Raw genomic sequence first — 18972 nt, 5'->3', positions numbered from 1 at the left:
TGCTGAAAAAGATGAAGAGTTTGATTTCTTTTAAAAAACAAACGCTTTCTGGGGAGTGAAAAGGTATAACTAAAATTTGATAGCTTTTCTTTCTCCACCACATATACCCAGGAGAAAATACTCATGTTTTTAAAAAATTTTATCCAGTTCTGTGAGACCTTACTTTAGAGAGAGTTAATTTTTTTCTTTTTTCATTTAACCTTAGGAGCGGAAGATTAGAGTGATCAAGTTCCACAGTTCATGGCATTTTCAGCCCTGGTCCTGCAGAGTCTTTTTTGTTTGTTTATGCTTATTTATGGCCTTTATTCCTTCATTTTAAAAAAATCATTTCCTTTCATCTTTCTTCATCCCTTCCTTTCCCTTTCTCAAATTCCCCTCACTCCATATATGTGTGCTGTGTATCCTCTCATTTGTAGGTGCTCTTGTTTTGTGTATGTGTATTTGCCATATGTATGAATGGTTTTGTGTTTCCACTCTCCCTCTGTTTCTATATATGTCACACAGTGCTACATTTTTACAATTTTATGTGTTATCTAGTCCAGGGCCACTAACTTCTGTATAATAATCCATCACCACCTTTGACTTAACTACTCCCCAGATGATGGATGGATAGATGACTCCAGCCCACAGAAACACACAGTGATCATCCTTATATGTGTCCCTTTATAGAGCAACATGAAGATGGAGCTCAGATTCTACCTGTGAGTGGAATTGCTGAATGATAAGGCATACAAATACTTAGTCTGTGTTAATCCAGCCAGATTACTCACTAGAGGGACTCCTTCAATCTATATTCCCCAGGGATGCTGGCTCTTTTTTTTTTTTTTTTCTTTTTTGCTTTGTACTGTTTAGCTTTTTAATTTTTGGCAATTAATGGATATAAAATGATATTTAATTACTGGCTTAATTTTCATTTATCTAATTACAAATGAGCCAGGGTATTTTTATTGATTAGTCAGCCATTTAAATGTTCTCTTCTGAATCCATGTGTCCTTTGCTAATTTTTAATAGACTTTTTTCTTTCTGGTTTGCCAGAGCTGCTTATTATTCTATACCTTGATTCTGTCTGTCTGAGTCATTGAAAGTAGACACTCTGGCAGTTATCTGTCAGTTGGCTTTTCCATGGTGTCTTTCAATGAACAGAAACCCATACTTTTGGTATCATGAAATCCACAAATATTTTGCTTATCGATTGTGTTTTTGGTGTTTTCCTAAGAAATTCTTCCCCATTCATAGGTCACAAAAGGATTTTCTAATATTACCTCCTACCATCTTTATAGTTCTACCTTTTGTATTTAAGTCTTTAATCCATCTGAATCATGGTGCATTTTTTTTTCCCTCCAAAAGGTGGACCAGTTATCCCAAAACCACCTCTAAATAGTTTTCCCTTTCATCATGGATTCATGGAGCAAGTTTCTTCTTATATCCAGGTCTCATATATACATGGATCTGCCTCTGAGCTCTCTGGTTTATTTTGTTTATCTGAGATGACACTGACTACAGAGCATGTAGGGCCAACGCAAAATGACATTGCAGGGCCCCTTGTTTAAAAATGGTTAAGAATTTGAAGATGATGACAGCAAATCACACTTCAGCCAAGTATGAGGCTCTTTTAAGAGTAGATCCCTGTGTGACTGCAGGAATTGCATGCCCTGGAGCCAGCCCTGATTCTAGCACTGGACTAGATACACATAAAATTGTAAAAATATAGCACTGCATGACATATATAAAAACAGAAGGAGGGTGGAAGCATAAAACCATTCATACATATGGCAAATACACATACACAAAACAAGAACACCTACAAATGAGAGGATACACAGCACACATATGGAACAAGGGGAATTTGAGAAAGGGAAAGGAAGAGATGAAGAAAGATGAAAGGAAATGAATTTTTTAAATGAAGGAAAAAAGACATAAATAAGCATAAACAAACAAAACTATATGGTTTTTATTATTATGGATTTGTAGTATATCAGGTATTCTGCCTTTAGTTTTTTTTTGTTTTTTTTCAAAGTGGATCTAGTTAGTTGTGGACAATTAATCATGTATACAAGTTTCAGAAAAATGTTTGCTGAGTTCATCAAAACATCCAACTAGACTATTGACTTAAAATTACTTTGAATTTATACATTAATGTTGAGGAAGAATTGACATTATTTTTATACCAAGCCATCATTGGAGACCATGCTATTTATGCAAATCTTTTTGTATCCTTATAATTTTACTTTTTTTTCTTGGTAAATTTAAAACAGATTAGATAAAACAACTCCTAAATAGAGTAGAGTTGGCTATTTTCTGTGGTATTTTATTTTCAATTTATATTTTCTAATTGATTGTTGCTGACATAGAAATATGCTATTGATTTTTATAATTTGTTCTGATATTTGGTGAATTTGCTGAACTTTCTTATTAGTTCTGCAGTTTTATTTCTCCCTCTGTAATCCTTGTACCACTTCTTTCTTCCTCTTCTAGTTTTGGAATTAAAGTTATAATCAAATTTACAAAGTGAGTTGGGCAGCTTTCACACTTTTTTGCTTTCAGGAACAGCTGTAATGATTATTGGTTACTAGGGTTACTGATGTTGAGGGAAATGGGTTATATATGGCTGTAAATGTGTAACACAAAGGAGAACATTCTAGTGATGAAATTGTTCTGAATCTTGGTTGGAGTGTGGCTTACGTAAATCTACACATGCCATGACATAGAACTATATCCACAGATTACATCAACGTCAATTTCATTTTTTAAAAAATATTGTACTATAGGTCAGGCGAGGTGGCTCACACCTGTAATTCCACTTTGGGAAGGCAAGACAGGTGGATCGCTCAAGTTCGAGACCAGCTGGGGCAACATGGTGAAACCCTGTCTCTACAATACAAAAAAAAAAATTAGCCAAGCATGGTGGTACATGCCTATAGTCCCAGATACTCAGGAGGCTGAGGTAGGAGGATTGTTTGAGCCCAGGAGGCAGAGGTTGCAATGAGCTGAGAGTTCACCACTGCACTCCAGCCTGGGTGACAGAGCGAGACCCTGTCTAAAAAAATAAATATATAAATAAAAATATGCTGTAATTATGTTTGTCACAATTGGGGAAAACTGTATGAAAGATATGTGAAACCCTTCTTGATCTGTGTTTTCATAGATTTTGTATTTGTCTATTTGGCATTCACTCATTCATCACTCAATTGTGTTAACTACATTTTCTTATTTTCTGTATTTGTCAAGCTCTGATATCTGTGGCCTTGCTGACTGAGAAGAGACTGCCCCTCCCATGGCTACCCAATTCTTAGAAGGAGCAAAGGCTTATCCTAGGAGCATACCATTAACATGCAAATGAATCAATCCAGAGCCCATGACCCCAGCTATCGCCTTTATCAAACTCTCACACACCAAGTCAATGTTCCTCTGCCCTAAAGCACCCCAGGGCCAGGTGCCAGACAATCTGAGATCACCCATGTTACCCAGAGGCCACCTACGGTATTCAAACCAGGCAGTCCTGCACTGTTCACCCTGCTCTGCCTGGCTTCCCTGCAGAAACCCTGACAAAGGCAGTGACCTATGCTTCTCCTTCACCCTCCTGCCTCCTGGCCAACCATATGCTTCCCCAGGTGGCTCTGTGTGGCATGGCAGGCCCCTCCTTCCAGGAAATGCAAGTACCAAAAGTCATCTTTTTTTTTTTTTGGAGACGGAGTCTCACTCTGTCACCCAGGCTGGAGTGCAGCGGTGCGATCTCAGCTCACTGTAACCTCTGCCTCCCAGGTTCAAGCAAGTCTGTGCTTCAGCCACCCGAGTAGCTGGGATTACAGGCACCCACCACCACGCCCAGCTAATTTTTCTGTATTTTTAGCAGAGATGGGGTTTCACCATGTTGGCTGGGCTGGCCTTGAACTCCTGACCTCATGATCCTCCCGCCTGGGCCTCCCAAAGTGCTGAGATTACAAGCGTGAGCCACCATGCCCAGCCTAAAAATCATCTTTCAATGGCATTGTCCTTTCAATGGAGATGCTAAGTCACTTCCATAAATTAAAATCCCATGGGTACAACTGATACATTGCTGAACTAGTCTTGCAACTTCCTGTGAAGCTATAATTATTTAAAATAAAAAGGTTTAAAAAAGTAAAGTGAGATGGACAACTTTCACACTTTTGAAGTTTGCTGGAACAACTGAGATTGTATATTGTAAGAAGTTGGGTAGAATGGAACTGTTTCAACCATCATAGTCTATAATTCAGTGAGAAGAAAGGTCTTAATTTCCATTTTTTAAATGCTTAATAGTTTTCCATTTTTCTATTTCTTTTTGAATCATTCAAAAAATTTTTAATTTATTTGTTTTGTCTTGCTTTCCAAATATTCATTTATAATTTTTTATTCTTTGTTGTATCTATATTTACTCCTTTTTCATTCTTCAGTTTTTATTTCTATCTTTTCTCACTTGTCCTCCTTCACTATTGCTTGAGGACTCTAACAATCAGCTTTTGGTTTTGCTAATTTTGGTATTCTTTATGGGTTTGTTTCTTTTCTGTCTCATTCATTTCTGACTTTTTTTTTTTTTTTTTTTTTTTTTTGAGATGGAGTCTCAGTCTGTTGCCCAGACTTGAGTGCAGTGGCACCATCTCGGCTCACTGCAACCTCTGCCTCCTGGGTTCAAGTGATTCTCCTGCCTCAGCCTCCTGAGTAGCTGGGATTACAGGCACCTGCCACCATGCCCAGCTAATTTTTGTGTTTTTAGTAGAGACGGGGTTTTACTGTGTTGGCCAGGCTGGTCTGACCTTATTTTTATTATGTCCTTATTGTTTCTTTGAGATTGATCTATCTTTTATAAATTTATGGAGTTGATTGCTTAGCTCATGTTTTCAACCTTCCTTGTGTCCTTATAACATGTATTGAGAGCTAGGAATTTCCCTCTAAGTACTGCTATATCTGTATCTAAATTTTGACCTCTGGTGTTTTCATTATCATTCAGCTCTAAGTGTTTGTGTGTGTGTGTGTGTGTGTGTGTGTGTGTGTGTGTGTGTGTGTGCAACTTTCCAGTACACTTTCTTTTTTTTTTACAAAGAGTTAGCTGGTAATATAATATTTAGTTTCCATACAGAGAAGGTTTCTCTTTCAGCTTTTCTTCTGTCATTTTGAAGTCTGATGTCAATCTGATTGCTGTTCTCTCCAGAAATTTTTAGGATTTCCTCATTGCTTTTAATATTCTTAATTTTATCTCTACTGACATGTACTCAAGTGTAAATTTTCTTTATTTGTTTTAGCATCCTGTAAACCCTTTCAATCTGATATTTTTAATCTTCCTTTAATTCCAGAGAAAGTATTGTCATTATGCGTTCAAATATTGCCTTCCTTCCGTTTGCTTTGTTACATTTCTCCTTTTGGTTTCTATTATCCAACTGTTGGCACCTTTAGCCTCAATATTCTTTGGTTTTTCTTTTACCTTCATGTCTCTTTATCCTTTTCTGCACTGCTTTGAGAGATCTTCAAACTGATCTTCCAGCTCACTAATTTTTCTTGGCCTCTGTCCATCTTACTATCTATCCCATCAATTTTGTTTTGATTTCAACTGTTCCTCTTGACTTTTCCTGATTGTGTTTTCGTGCTTTGTATCAGTCATATTCTCCCTTATCTCTGATTATATTTATTGTGCTTTTTAAAATTCCTGATGACCCACCTGTTCCAATCATTCAGCTTCCCATAGTACATATGTTTATTCAATTCAATGTCCCTCTTTTATGTGCCTGCTCCTCAAGGATTTGGAGGTTTTTGCTTGTGCATTCTTACACTCTGTCTGGTGAAGTGTATGTGTTCAAGAACATGTGACAGCCCAACCCCCAGAGTGTGTGCCACCTCAGAAATTTAAAGAGTGTAGAGAAGACAGCATGACCCTCAGGGCAGAAAACCCTGGCACACAGAATCAGCCGCAATTCCAGCCCTACCAAGCAACTCTCTCAGTCTGGAATTTTCCCTCAAATTATTTGAAAGAAGCAGCACTGAGAAGACATAATCTCCTGTGACTGTGATCCCCCAGCTTCTTAGGGAAGAAAGAGGGCAGAAGGCAGAGGGCAGAAGGGTGAATGAGTGAATGACCAGGAATATTGGTCAGCCCCTAACCCCAGGGAGGCGGGAGAAGGGGCAGGAGGGTGGGATCAGAGCCCTGCCCTGCCGCGAATGCTTCAGACAGAGGCTACCCTGGCTGCTACTGTGGATTTCTTTCTCAGGGGCAATGGTGGCCTGCGGTTTTCACAGGCTAGCATGCTTCAGTGTCCCTGCAGGCTTGGTAAAACACAGAATGCTGGGCCCCACAACCAGAGTTTCTGATTCAGTAGGTATAACATGTGCCTGAGCTTGTGTTTTATCAAATTCTCATGTGATACAGATGCTGCTGATTAGGAACCACTTTGAGGACCACTGTGTAGGCAGTACCACTTGCACACATACAAATGCACACACAGACACACAGACACACACACACCATACATACCGGGTGACTGCCTTCAGGACCCTAAAGGCTTCTCCCAGTTTTGACATCAGTAACAATAACAACTAACACGTAGGCCCTAGTGTGTGCCAGGCATGTTTTGAGTTGCTTTCTGTCCATTGTCTCATTTAACCCTCACACAACTGTGTAATGTTATGAGCTAAGTAATCATTATAGTCCCCATTTTACAGATACGGAAACTGAGGCACAGGGAGGTCACGTCATTCACTCAAGGTCACATTACCAGTAAAGGGTAGTAGAAGTGAGAAAACTGAGGCTCAGAAATGATAAGTAATATACACAACAACATAAACCTACCTCCTTTTACTTGCTAGCAAGAATTAGAGCTGTGTATTCAAACCCAGTTTAAGCTGAATTCATAACCTCTTACTCTTTAAAATAGACACAAGGACCCAGTTTTTACTTGTCAGTTTGGAATATAGATTCTTAGACATAACTAAAGATAATGGTAATCCTTAGAAGGAGTGAGGAGAAAACCCCAATAGAGCTTGTGAAATGACCCAGCTCCTCCAGCATTTCTGTCTTAACTACTGCAATTGGATTTCTGAGATTTAGTCTGGAAATCAGGTTGAAGGAACTGCATTTTGCTTACATGTGTGCTTTAAAAAAAAAAAAAAAAAAAAAGGAACTACATAGGCCGAGTGTGGTGGCTCACACCTGTAATCCCAGCACTTTTGGTGGCTGAGGCAGGTGGATCGCTTGAGCCCACAAGCTCAAGACCACTCTGGGCAATGTGGCAAAACCCCATCTCTCTACAAAAGTACAAAAAATTAGCCAGGCGTGGTGGCTTGCACCTGTAGTCCCAGCTACTCGAGAGACTGAGGTGGGAAGATTACCTCACCAGGGAAGGTCAAGGCAGCAGTGAGCCATGATCACACCACTGCACTCAAGCCTGAGAGAGAGAGAGAGACTCTGTCTCAAAAAAAAAAAAAAAAAGGAATATGTCATTTTGAAAACCTCCTGGTCCTAACTTGACAAACGGTACTTGCTGAGTTCACCGGGTTAACTGGCTTTTGACAGGAGCCCTCGCCTCTTCTTTGGCCAGTTCCACTGCATCAGACCTCTTGGGCTCAGCCAGTGGGTGCTGGTTATCAGTGACCTCTTTTCCATAGGTTTTCATTATTCCAGGTTTTTGCTGGAATGAGAATTACCGACCCTCCCATTTTTCTTCCAATGAGTTTGAGTCTCCTTGTTTCTCACCACACTCAGAACTTTAGAGCTGGTGTCCAACTTGGCCGTTTATAGCCATCAGTGATCTTCTAGACTGAGCTGAATCACAAGACTGACCATGTCCCTCCCCTCCTTTAAACTCTTCAAGGCACCAAGAACGTAGTTAAAAGATAAGGAGAGAACACAGTCACCATATTTATAGCTTAGATAAAGAATCGCATTCAGAACATATAAAGAACTCTTACAAAGCAAACTTTTTTTTTTTTTTGAGGTGGGGTCTCACTCTGTTGCCCAGGCTGGAGTGCAGTGATGTGATCTCAGCTCACTGCAACCTCCACCTCCCAGGTTCAAGCAATTCTCCTGCCTCAGCCTCCCAAGTTGCTGGGATTACAGGCATGCACCACCACACCCAGCTAATTTTTATATTTTTAGTAGAGATGGGGTTTCACCATGTTGGCTAGGCTGGTCCCAGACTCCTGATTTCATGATCCACCTGCCTCGGCCTCCCAAAGTACTGAGATTACAGGCGTAAGCCACTGCACCCGGCACAAAGCAAACATTTTTAAAAAGTCAAAGAAACTAATTTAAAATCCACAAAAGATATGAACAGGAAACCCTTGGAGAAGGAAATCCAACTGATTAATAAATATGAGAAAGCTGTTCAGCCTTGCCAGTGAACGACAATTAGATACCACTCTTTTCTACCTACTGTATTGGTTAAAATTTTTAAAGTTAATCCAATTAAGTGTTGGTGAGTGTCATGGTTTGACTGTCTCCCCCAAAATTCATGTGTTGGAAACTGAGTCCCCAGTGTACCAGTATTGGAGGGTGAGGTCTAATAAGAGCTCATTAGGCCTAATAAGAGACCTAATAATGGACTAATGTCATTATTGCAGGACCGGGTCACTTGTGTAGAGAGTGGGTTATTATAAAAGCTAGCCTAGTTCCTTATGCTTTCTCTCTCATTTACCCTTCCACCTTCCACTGCGGGATAACACGGCACAAAGTCCCTTACCAGATGCCAACACCATGCCAACACCATGCTGGGAAGTCTACTTCCCAGCCTCTAGAACTGTGAGAAAATAAATCTCTTTTCTTTATAAATTACCCAGTCTATCATATTCTGTTATAGCAGCAGAAAATGAACTAAGACAGTAAGAATATGAAGAAATTTTTTTATTTTTATTTTTTTTATTTTGATAAAAATGAGGTTTTGCCTTGTAGCTCAGGCTGGTCTTGAACTCCTGAGCTCAAGTAATCCACCTGCCTCAGCCTCCCAAAGTGCTGGGATTACAGGAGTGAGCCACCACACCCTGCCTGAAGAAATTTTTTTGGTCTCCTAGAAGCCATTCTCTTCTTAGTAAGCAACTAGATTTTCTTTTAGAGAATACCACTCCCCAACTGTGCACAATCTTGACCAAAAAATCAAGGTGCTCTGTCCTCTCATTACAGAGCCCAAAGGGATCCCTGGAAGCCACACCCAGCCTTACTTCTCATCACTGTGACACAAGGTCAACCCTCTGCCAGGACTTTAGTGAAGTTAGACAGGGCCCAAAGCCAAGCTTGGGCTCCACTCATCTGCCAGGAAGCAGGTCTTTGGCCTTTCCCTCCCTCCTCTGAGCTGCCCCATACTCCGCCAATAGCTTTCTTTTATGTTGAAGTTTGCCAGAGTCAGTGTCTGGGGTTTAACCAAAGACTCCTTTCTAACTGCTAGGCACAGTGACCCAGCAAGTCAACATCTCAGAATCTGCCCCAGGGATACACACATGAGCACACATTGCAAGATGCTTGTGGCAGTAATTCTTGTAATGGCAAAAAGAATTGGACACAGACTGTGTCCTACATATATATATGTGTGTGTATATATATGTGTGTATATATGTATATATACATATATGTGTACATATATACACACATATATACACATATACACACATATATATACATATATATACACACACACATATATACATATATATATATAGAGAGAGAGAGAACATTACTCTGTCACCCAGGCTAGAGTGCAGTGGTATGATCTCAGCTCACTACAGCCTTGACCTCCCAGGCTTAAGCGATCCTTCCACCTCAGCCTCCTGAGTCGCTACGACTACAGGCACACACCACTATACCCAGCTAATTTTGTTTTTTAATTTTTGTATAGACAGGGTCTATATATTATGTTGCCCAGGCTGATCTCGAACTCCCGGACTCAAGTGATCCTCCCACCTTGGCCTCCCAAAGTGCCGGATTACAGGCCACCGTGCCTGGCAAAAACAATAAATATATTTTTTAAACTTACAAAACAAAATTATGTCTTTCTAGTACATACCAAAAAGAGGAAGGAGAAAATTCTAGAAAAATTTATACCTCATTGATAACACTTATCATCTAGGAAAGGGATTGGTATTTGAATGAGGGAATAAAAAGGCCTTGAACTTTGTCTGCATTATTTAGATTCATTTACAGTGTGAACAAATTCATGTATTATTCATGTAATAATCTGTAAAAAATTTTGAATCAATATACTTCTTAAATTCTTAATGGCGTCCCATCATCTAGAGTAGGGGTTGGCCAACTATAACCCTGCTTGTCTTTTAAGAAAAGTTTATTTTTAATATGGCCTTGCTCATTCGTTTACATATTGTCAGGGCTGCTCTCGCACAAAATGGCAGGGTGGAGTAGCTGTAAGAGAGACCCTATCAGGCCCTTTAGGGAAAAACTTTGCAGACCGGTTAGCTAGGGCTGTGATTCTCAGCTCTGGTGGGAATTCTAGTAGGCATTCAAATCACCTGAGACGTTAAAAAAAAAAAAAAAAAAAAAAAACTCACGCCCAGGCTCCACCCCCGCAAAGAATGACTTAATTGGTCAGGGGTGAGGCTTGAGCTTTAATTGTTTTTCAAAATGTCCCAGGTGATTTTAATGAGCAGCCAGGCTTGCCTGCTCTGACTTTTAGGATTAATTCCAGACTCCTGAGTGTGGTTTAAAAGGCCCTTCGTAACCTGGCTTGCCCCTCTGGTCTCGTCCTCCCAACCCACGCTCATTTCCTCTGCTCCGAGATACAGAACGCACCAGGCGACACTGTCTTTAAGCTTGGAATGTTCCTCCTTTCCATCTGCCTGGCAAATGTTGAGTCATCCTTTAAGTCTAGGCTGAAGGATGTTCTTCCCTAAGAAGCATTCCAGATTCTTGCTTACATATCACATTTAAAGGTATGTTGTCATTGTGTACCTGTCTGTCTCCCATGGTGAGGGGAGGGAGGAGGCGCTATGTCTTCATGTATCTCTCAGGGCAGGAGCTCAGTGAACATTTGCTGAATCAAATTAAACTTAAAAAAATCTAACTTCAAATGCCCAAAATCCAGCTCCACAGAGACATTTTGAAGTCCTCCTTGTGTCAGGAAAACAAAACAATAACAAAAAAAAAACTGGGTGCATTTACTGTAACAGACTAAATTTTTTTTTTTTTTTTTGAGACAGAATCTTGTCACCCAGGCTGGAGTGCAGTGGCACCATCTGGGCTCACTGCAGCCTCCACTTCCTGGGTTCAAGCGACTCTCGTGCTTCAGCCTCCCAAGTAGCTGGGATTACAGACGTGCACCACCACATCCAGTTAATTTTTGTATTTTTAGTAGAGATGAGGTTTCACCATCTTGGCCAGGCTGGTGTCAAACTCCTGACCTCAAATGATCCACCTGCCTCGGCCTCTCAAAGTGCTGGGGTTACAGGCATGAGCCACCATGCCCGGCCTGTAACACACTAAATGATTTTCAAATCCCCTATTCCGTCACAGAGTAGCCCCAACTCTGTAGCCTAAAGTGTAAGAAAGGGTCTGGAACCATAAACTTTGAAGGAGACAAAAGAGATGTCAAAACTGAGGCTGTCTCCCTCCTTAGGTAAATCCTGAAGGGCACATGAAGAATATCCCATTCTTCATTTGAGAAGATTAAATTCTTGTTTTCTTTCCACTTGGTATTTGCTTTCTAAACTGATTGCATTTGTGATTGTCTAGCTGAGCTCATATCATTTGCTACGCAAATTTTCAAATTGCATTTGCTTCCTTTCTGAGTATGAATTCAAATGGACAAGTTGCCCTTTTCCAAACTAATCCTTAATTAGCTTCTGTCAAGAACCTAAGAGATGCCAGGGCACAGGCACCCTCCAAATCAAAATACATTCTGATTGTCATTGGAGGGAGAAATAGGATAAATGAATGATTAATCGCACTTGCTACGTCAAATCATATGGCAGTTGTTCCAAGTTTCATTTTCAAAAGATTAAAAACAACTTGTTTCAATTCTGTGCTAATTGGCAGGCAAATTTTCTTTCTCGCTTGGTGGCAATGAAATGTGGATATTAAAATGCACAGCTGATTAATTTCTGGGTTTGAATAGAGGAAAAAGGAGACCTTGGTCTACAGTCTTAAGTTTTTAAATATGATGCATTGACATCATGAAGTTGAAAGCAGTGGAAGCTTCTGGAATGCCAGGCCAGAAACAAATCCTGAAAGGAATTATGACCTTGAAGCTTTTATTGAGCACCTACCAGATTGCTGTTACACTGGAGATTTTTAAAAACGAGAATAGTCCTTGCCTTATAGTTGATGATACAGGGCATACAGTAAAATGCTAACTATCTGGTGCCAGAGATTTCCTTGCGGTAAAAGAAAGAGCTGAATGTGCCCTCCATTTCACAGCCTAGTTCCCAAGACAGGCTCTTAGCAGACACTTCCTGGCAGTCCCCCTTGTGTCTGGTCAGCTATTAACCTTAGACCAAAAGAACAAGAATAGCATGCATATCAATTTCTTGTGGCTACTGTAGCAATTACCACAGATTTCATGGCTTAAAACAATGGAAATTTATTTTCTCACAGTTATGGAGACCAGAAATCCCAAATAAATATGACTGGACTGAAACCAAGGCAGTAGCAAGGGCTGCACTCCTTGTGGAGGCTGCAGGAAGAATCTGTTCTTTCCTTCCTCCAGCTGCCAGCTCCCCTTGGATTGTGGCCACAGCATTCCAGACTCTGCCTCTGTGGTCACATCATCTGCGTGTGCCTGTGTGGTGGATGCATATTTCCTCCTGTCTCCCTTTTTTTTTGAGATTCTCACTGTCACCCAGGCTAGAGTGCAGTGGCACCATCTCAGCTCACGCCAACCTCTACCTCTCAGGTTCAAGCAATTCTCCTGCCTCAGCCTCCCAAGTAGCTGGGATTACAAGCACCTGCCACCATGCCTGGCTAATTTTTGTATTTATAGTAGAGACGAGGTTTCATCATGTTGGCCAGACTGGTTTCGAACTCCTGACCTTCAGTGATCCAACTGCCTCAGCCTCCCAAAGTGCTGGGATTACCAGCGTGAGCCTGGCCCGTCTCTCTCTTCTAAAGGTACATGGGGCTGCATTTAGGGCCCACCTGGATAACCCAGGACAACCCCCACATTTTAAGATCCTTAATTTAATCATACCTGCAAAGACCCTGTTTCCATACAAGGTAACATTCACAGGCTCCAGGAATTGGGATGTCTTTTGGGGGACTGTGTTTCAGTCTACTGCAGCATGGATATTTGGTATCCAGTGAACCCGGAATTTCAGTGAAGCCCAGTTTCACCCTTTATTTTAACATTTGCTTCATTTCAGCATCTTTTCTGTCCCTTGCTCTAGCACCAGGAGAGGGTCAGGCCTTGAGTAAAATGCCCTCCAGACTAACAGCTGGGTGGGAAAAGAGGCAACATTCAGAGACTGAAAATCAAGATGACCAGACCTGCCCTGGTGACAGGGGAACCAGGCTCGGCCAGGGGCCCATGATGGGTGCTGGTCCATTCAGTGTCTGCCTGCAGACCCCTGCCTCCGACAAGGCATCAGCCGTGGCCTTGGCTTCCAGGAAAGAAGGTGAGGCACACGGACAAGAAACATGAAATAAGCATTCCGGGAGGGAAACGAGGAAGCCAAAGGGAGCAAGTGACCCGAGTAGGAAGCTCAGTGCCCTGGCCATCAGGGCTTGGTATAGGAACCAGGGAAGAGGGACTTGAAGGGTTAAGAAAGTCTCAGAGCAAAAGTAGCTGCTTGGGGACAATTTCAAGAATGTGATGAGATTAGAGAAACAGGAAATGAAAAGCCCTGCAGGCTGCTTGGGATCCAGAGGCCTCCCTTCCTCCCTCCTCATTCTGTCCCAGAGGAATCAAGTGCAGCAAAATGCAGCAATCACATGAAGCCTGGGGAGGAGCCAGGATCTGCCCAGCAAAGTTATAATTCCACATCAGTAGCTTCCCTGGCAAGTCCTCTGCTGTAGACACACATGGGCCCATTGCACTTTAAGAAAATGCTCTGGGGCGAGGCACGGTGGCTCACACCTGTAATCCCAGCACGCTGGGAGGCCAAGGCAGGCAGATCACCTGAGGTCAGGAGTTCAAGACCAGCCTGGCCAACATGGCAAAACCCCACCTCTACTAGAAAAAATACAAAAATGAGCCAGGTGTGGTTGTGTGTACCTGTAGTCCCAGCTTACTTGGGAGGCTGAGGCAGGAGAATCACTTGAACTGGTGAGGTAGAGGTTGCAGTGACCTGAGACCATGCAACTGCACTCTAGCCTGGCAACAGAATGAGATGCCTCAAAAAAAAAAAAAAAAAAAAAAAAGCTCTGCTACGTCTCAAGGAAAATGAGTCCCTGGACCTACCTGAGACACAGTGCTTTGCTTTCCCGCCTCCTCTCCCCCCTCCCCCCGTTCTGGATGATAAATGCATGCTTTTGATTTTAGGGTGCATTTGAGAGGCTTTAATACACAGTTCTTTGTATTAGTTTGCTAGTGCTGTCTTCAGAATTTTCCATGAACTGGGTGGCTTAAAACAACAGAGATGTATTATCTCACAGTTCTGGGGACTAGAAATCTGAAATCAAGGGCTGAGCAGCATTGGTTCCCTTCGGAGGCTCCAAGGAAGAACCAGTTCCATGCTCTCCTAGCTTCTAGAAGTTGCCAGCAGCCCTAGGCCAGGAGGCATCACCCCAATCTCTTCTCCATCCTTGTGGAATGTTCTCCCTCTGTGTCTGTGTCCAAATTTCCCTCTTATAAGGACACCAATAATGGGATTAGGGCGTACCCTAATCTAGTATTACCTCCTCTTACATATCTGCAAAGACCTTATTTCCAAGTAACTTAACATTCACAAGAACCAGGGGGTTATGGTTTCAACATATCTTTTGGGGAGACACATTCAACCTATAACACTCACCAGGTGGGGATTAGTATCGATTACACTGATATAAAAACCATGCGGGACATTGGATTCGTTCGCTAGGGCTGCCATAATGAAGTACCACAGACGGGGTGGTTTAAACAACAGGAATTCATTTGTCCCAGTTCTGGAGGCTGTATGCCTGAGATCAAGGCACTGGCAGGGTTGGCTGCTTCTGAGGCCTCTCTCCTTGTCCTCTAGGAGACCGCCTTCTTGTGTCCCCATGTGGTCTTTCCTCCAGGCATGTCTATGTCCCAAGCTCCTTTTCTTATAAGGGTACCAGTTATTGATTAAAACAACCCCCACCCCAACTCATCTCATTTGGGCTTAATAATCAATCTCTCTTTTTTTTTTTTTTTTTTTTTTTTTGAGACAGAGTCTTACTCTGTCACCCAGGCTGGACTACAGTGCCATAATCACAGCTCACTGTAGCCTCGAACTCCCAGGCTCAGGTGATCCTCCTACCTTAGACACCTGGGTAGCCGAGATTACATGCATGTGCCACCATGCCCAGCTAATTTTTTGTATTTTGTGTAGAGATAGTTTCGCCTTGTTGCCCAGGCTGGTCTTGAACTCCTGGGCTCAAGCAATCCGCCCACCTCGGCCTCCCAAAGAGCTGGGATTTCAGGCGTGAATCACTGCGTCTGGCCCAATTATCTCTTTAAAAACCCTGTCTCCAAAGAGAATCCCATCCTGACATACTGGGACTTAAACATACAAATTTGAGGGAAACACAATTCAGCCCATAACATACACAAATTACAAATAATGAAGCCTACAGTATAATAATGAGGTCCTTAGTATCAATTCCACATATAATGAATTGATTCTCTTGGAATACTTTCATTGATTTTTGCCCAACTCTTGTATCTGTAGCCAATCTATGGTTTCAGCTGACTAAGTATTGTCCCAACATGAATGTTGATATTTTCAAGTTAATGAGTAATACAGATGTGAAACAAGGAAGATGTATGTCAGAACTTATTTGTCCATGATGTGAGCAAATTTTTTGCTGAATTTTATAACGGAGTACTGAAGATACTTCCTTATCTTTTTGTGCTATTCATAATGTAATGGTTAGTCATTACACACTTCTAATTTACACTCAACATTTTATCCATTAATTTCCTCAGTCTAGACAATAAAACAATAAATCAAGCCCTGACTTGTAGCAATTGCTGACTTCCCTGATGAAGATACAGCCCCCGTGGCTGACCCCCAGCTCTCAAGGTGACGTCCCTGAACACGAACTTAGAAGGCCGTGCACAGTAGCATAGCAGTGACTTCCACTATACAGACATGAGAGCTGTAAATAGCATTAACAATATAGATAGATTTTTTTTTCTTTTTTTTTTTTTTTGAGACAGATTCTCTGTCTCCAGGCTGGAGTGCAGTGGCGCGATTTTGGCTCACTTCAACCTCTGCCTCCCAGGTTCAAGCGATTCTCCTGCCTCAGCCTCCCGAGTAGCTGGGATTACAGGAGCATGCTACCACGCCTGGCTAACTTTTGTATTTTTAGTAGAGACAGGGTTTCACCGTGTTGGCCAGGATAGTCTCGATCTCTTGACCTCGTGATCCGCCCACCTCAGCCTCCCAAAGTACTGGGATTACAGGCATGAACCACTGCACCTGACCTACAGATAGATTTTTTTTAATGTAGTAAAATAATTAGGAAGTGATGAGTTTTGAATATTTATTACTTTTGGGCTGGGCATGGTGGCTCACACCTGTAATCCCAGCACTTTGGGAGGCCAAGGTGGGCAGATCACCTGAAGTCAGGAGTTTTGAGACCAGCCTGACCAACTTGGTGAAACCCCGTCTCTACTAAAAATATAAACATTGGCCAGGTATGGCAGCGCACACCTGTAATCCCTGCTGCTCAGAAGGCTGAGGCAGGAGAATTGCTTGAACCCAGGAGGGGGAGGCTGCAGTGAGCCAAGATTGCCCCACTGTACTCCAGCCTGGGTGACAGAGTGACTCTGTCTCAAAAAAATTATTACTGTTGTTCTTAATAAAATTTAATTGTAAATTTGCATGAGTTAGCCCCTAAAAATATATTTAACAACCACCTTGACACTTAACAATTGGCTCTCTCAAGCCAGCACAGACTACCTGTAGCACACTGCTGGGCTTAGGAGTTGGAATTCCTTTTTTAAATTTTAGGTTCTAGGTATATGTGCAGGTTTGTTATAGGTAAACTATGTGTCATGAGGGTTTGGTTGGAATTTCTTAAAGTTGCTGTAGATTTCCAGAATTGAGGACACAGCCTGGCCATTTACAGGTGAGGAACCTTGTTAAAGGTGAAGTGTTAAGCAAGATGATGTGGCCACACAGCTGGTGATTGGCCTAAGCAGGAGGCGGTCCCAGGCCTTACCATTGCCAGCCTAGCACAATTTCCACTGCTTAGTATCCTGTCTCTAAACCTGGATTCGTTTACAAGAGAAGTACAATGAGGAAAGGAACAAAGTGCCTGTGGGAAGGTTCAGGGGGTCAGGCAGAGAGAGAAAGAGAAGGAGAAAAGAGACCAATTATCAGCATAGAAGGACAGCCCAGACAGGGGACCCGACCCAGAATTACAATAGAAATAGATAAGTATGAAGAAAGAGGAAGGGCAGCTCATTCCATGGTGGTTAATGTAAACAAAAATATGATTCTAAGACCCCCAACCATCTGAATGCACCCTTCCTTTCAGCCAAGGGCATTCCAAAGTCAACCTGAAAAACTAGTTCAGGCCACAATGGGAAGGGAGGGGGGACATCCCTCATTATGCCCTCCTCCCTTTCAGAATTCAGGCACAACCGGCCAGTGTTAACGTAAGACTGATAGAACAGACTTAAGTCTGATAAGAGACATTGACAACCTATTGTCTCTGAAGCTTGTTACCTGGAGGCTTCATCTGCATAATAACCTAGGTCTCCATAATCCCTTAACGTAACCCACACACTTCCTTCTATGGATTCCAGGTCTTTAGATAAACTCTTTCAACCAATTGCCAATAGGAAAAGCTTTGAATCCACCTATGACCTAGAAGCCACCCCACCCCCTTCCAGTTGTCCCACCTTTTCAGACCAACCAATACACATCTTACCTGGATTGACTGATGTCTCGTATCTCCCTAAAATGTACTAACCTGAAGTCTGACCACCTGGGCATATGTTCTCAGGATCTCCTGGGGCTGTGTCACAGGACATCAGTCACTCATTTTGGCTCAGAATAAATCTCTTCAAGTATTTTACAGAGTTTGACTCTTTGTAGACATTAAGGAGAAAGAACATTTAACAATAACCAGGAGAGAGGATACCAGTGATCTTTCTGGATGTGGTTTTTGTTGTGTTGTTTTGTTTTTGAGATGGAGTTTAGCTCTTGTCACCCAGGATGGAGTGCAATGGAGTGATCTCAGCTCACTGCAACCTCTGCCTCCTGGGTTCAAGCAACTCTCCTGCTTCAGCCTCCTGAGTAGCCGGGATTACAGGTGCCTGCCACCATGCCCAGATAATTTTTGTATTTTTAGTAAAGATGGGACTTCACGATGTTGGCCAGGCTGCTCTTGAATTCCTGACCTCAGGTGATCTGCCTGCCTGGGCCTCCCAAAGTTCTGGGATTACAGGCATAAACCACTGTGCCTGGCCTGGATGTGGTTTTTGTACGTGATAAGAAGTTGAATGTAGGACTTCTGAGGTTTATGGAGTTTAAAACAGCAGCAACAAAACCAGAAACAGTGAGTCCAGAACACTCGCTAAGGACTTCAGCAGCGAAAAGAGACATAAAATAAAAATCCCAAGATCCTTGGAGGGTGGCAAAACCAAAGCACACAAAAGTACTTCGTGGATTTTGTTTCTGTAAGGATGGTGGACATGAGAATGTTAGAAAGCAAATGGAAAAAGATGGTGGAAAGATTGAAACGGAGCCTCCTTTTGGAGTTAGATTACTACAGTGTTTCCTACCATGGCTGCCCCTTTTAATCCATCTTGCCCACTGCTGGATTGAGTCTCTCTAAATATCAGTCTCTCTCCTGTTCTAGAACAGCCATGACTCAAGGACTCTCTCTCTACCTTATTCCTCAGGCCCTGGCCGATT

At 42.2% G+C, this 18972-nt stretch overlaps 1 pseudogene across 1 annotated transcript in view; it reads right to left on the bottom strand.

Annotated features, from left to right (window-relative positions):
* OACYLP (O-acyltransferase like, pseudogene) overlaps positions 1-18972 on the bottom strand; it is a 72699-nt pseudogene that overhangs the window by 50039 nt on the left and 3688 nt on the right. The window lies entirely within an intron of this gene.

This window comes from Homo sapiens, chromosome 18 (assembly GCF_000001405.40).
Source record: "Homo sapiens chromosome 18, GRCh38.p14 Primary Assembly".
Lineage (NCBI taxonomy): Eukaryota > Metazoa > Chordata > Mammalia > Primates > Hominidae > Homo > Homo sapiens.
The sequence above is the reverse complement of the archived record's forward strand: the minus strand, read 5'-3'. Positions and strand labels throughout refer to the sequence as shown.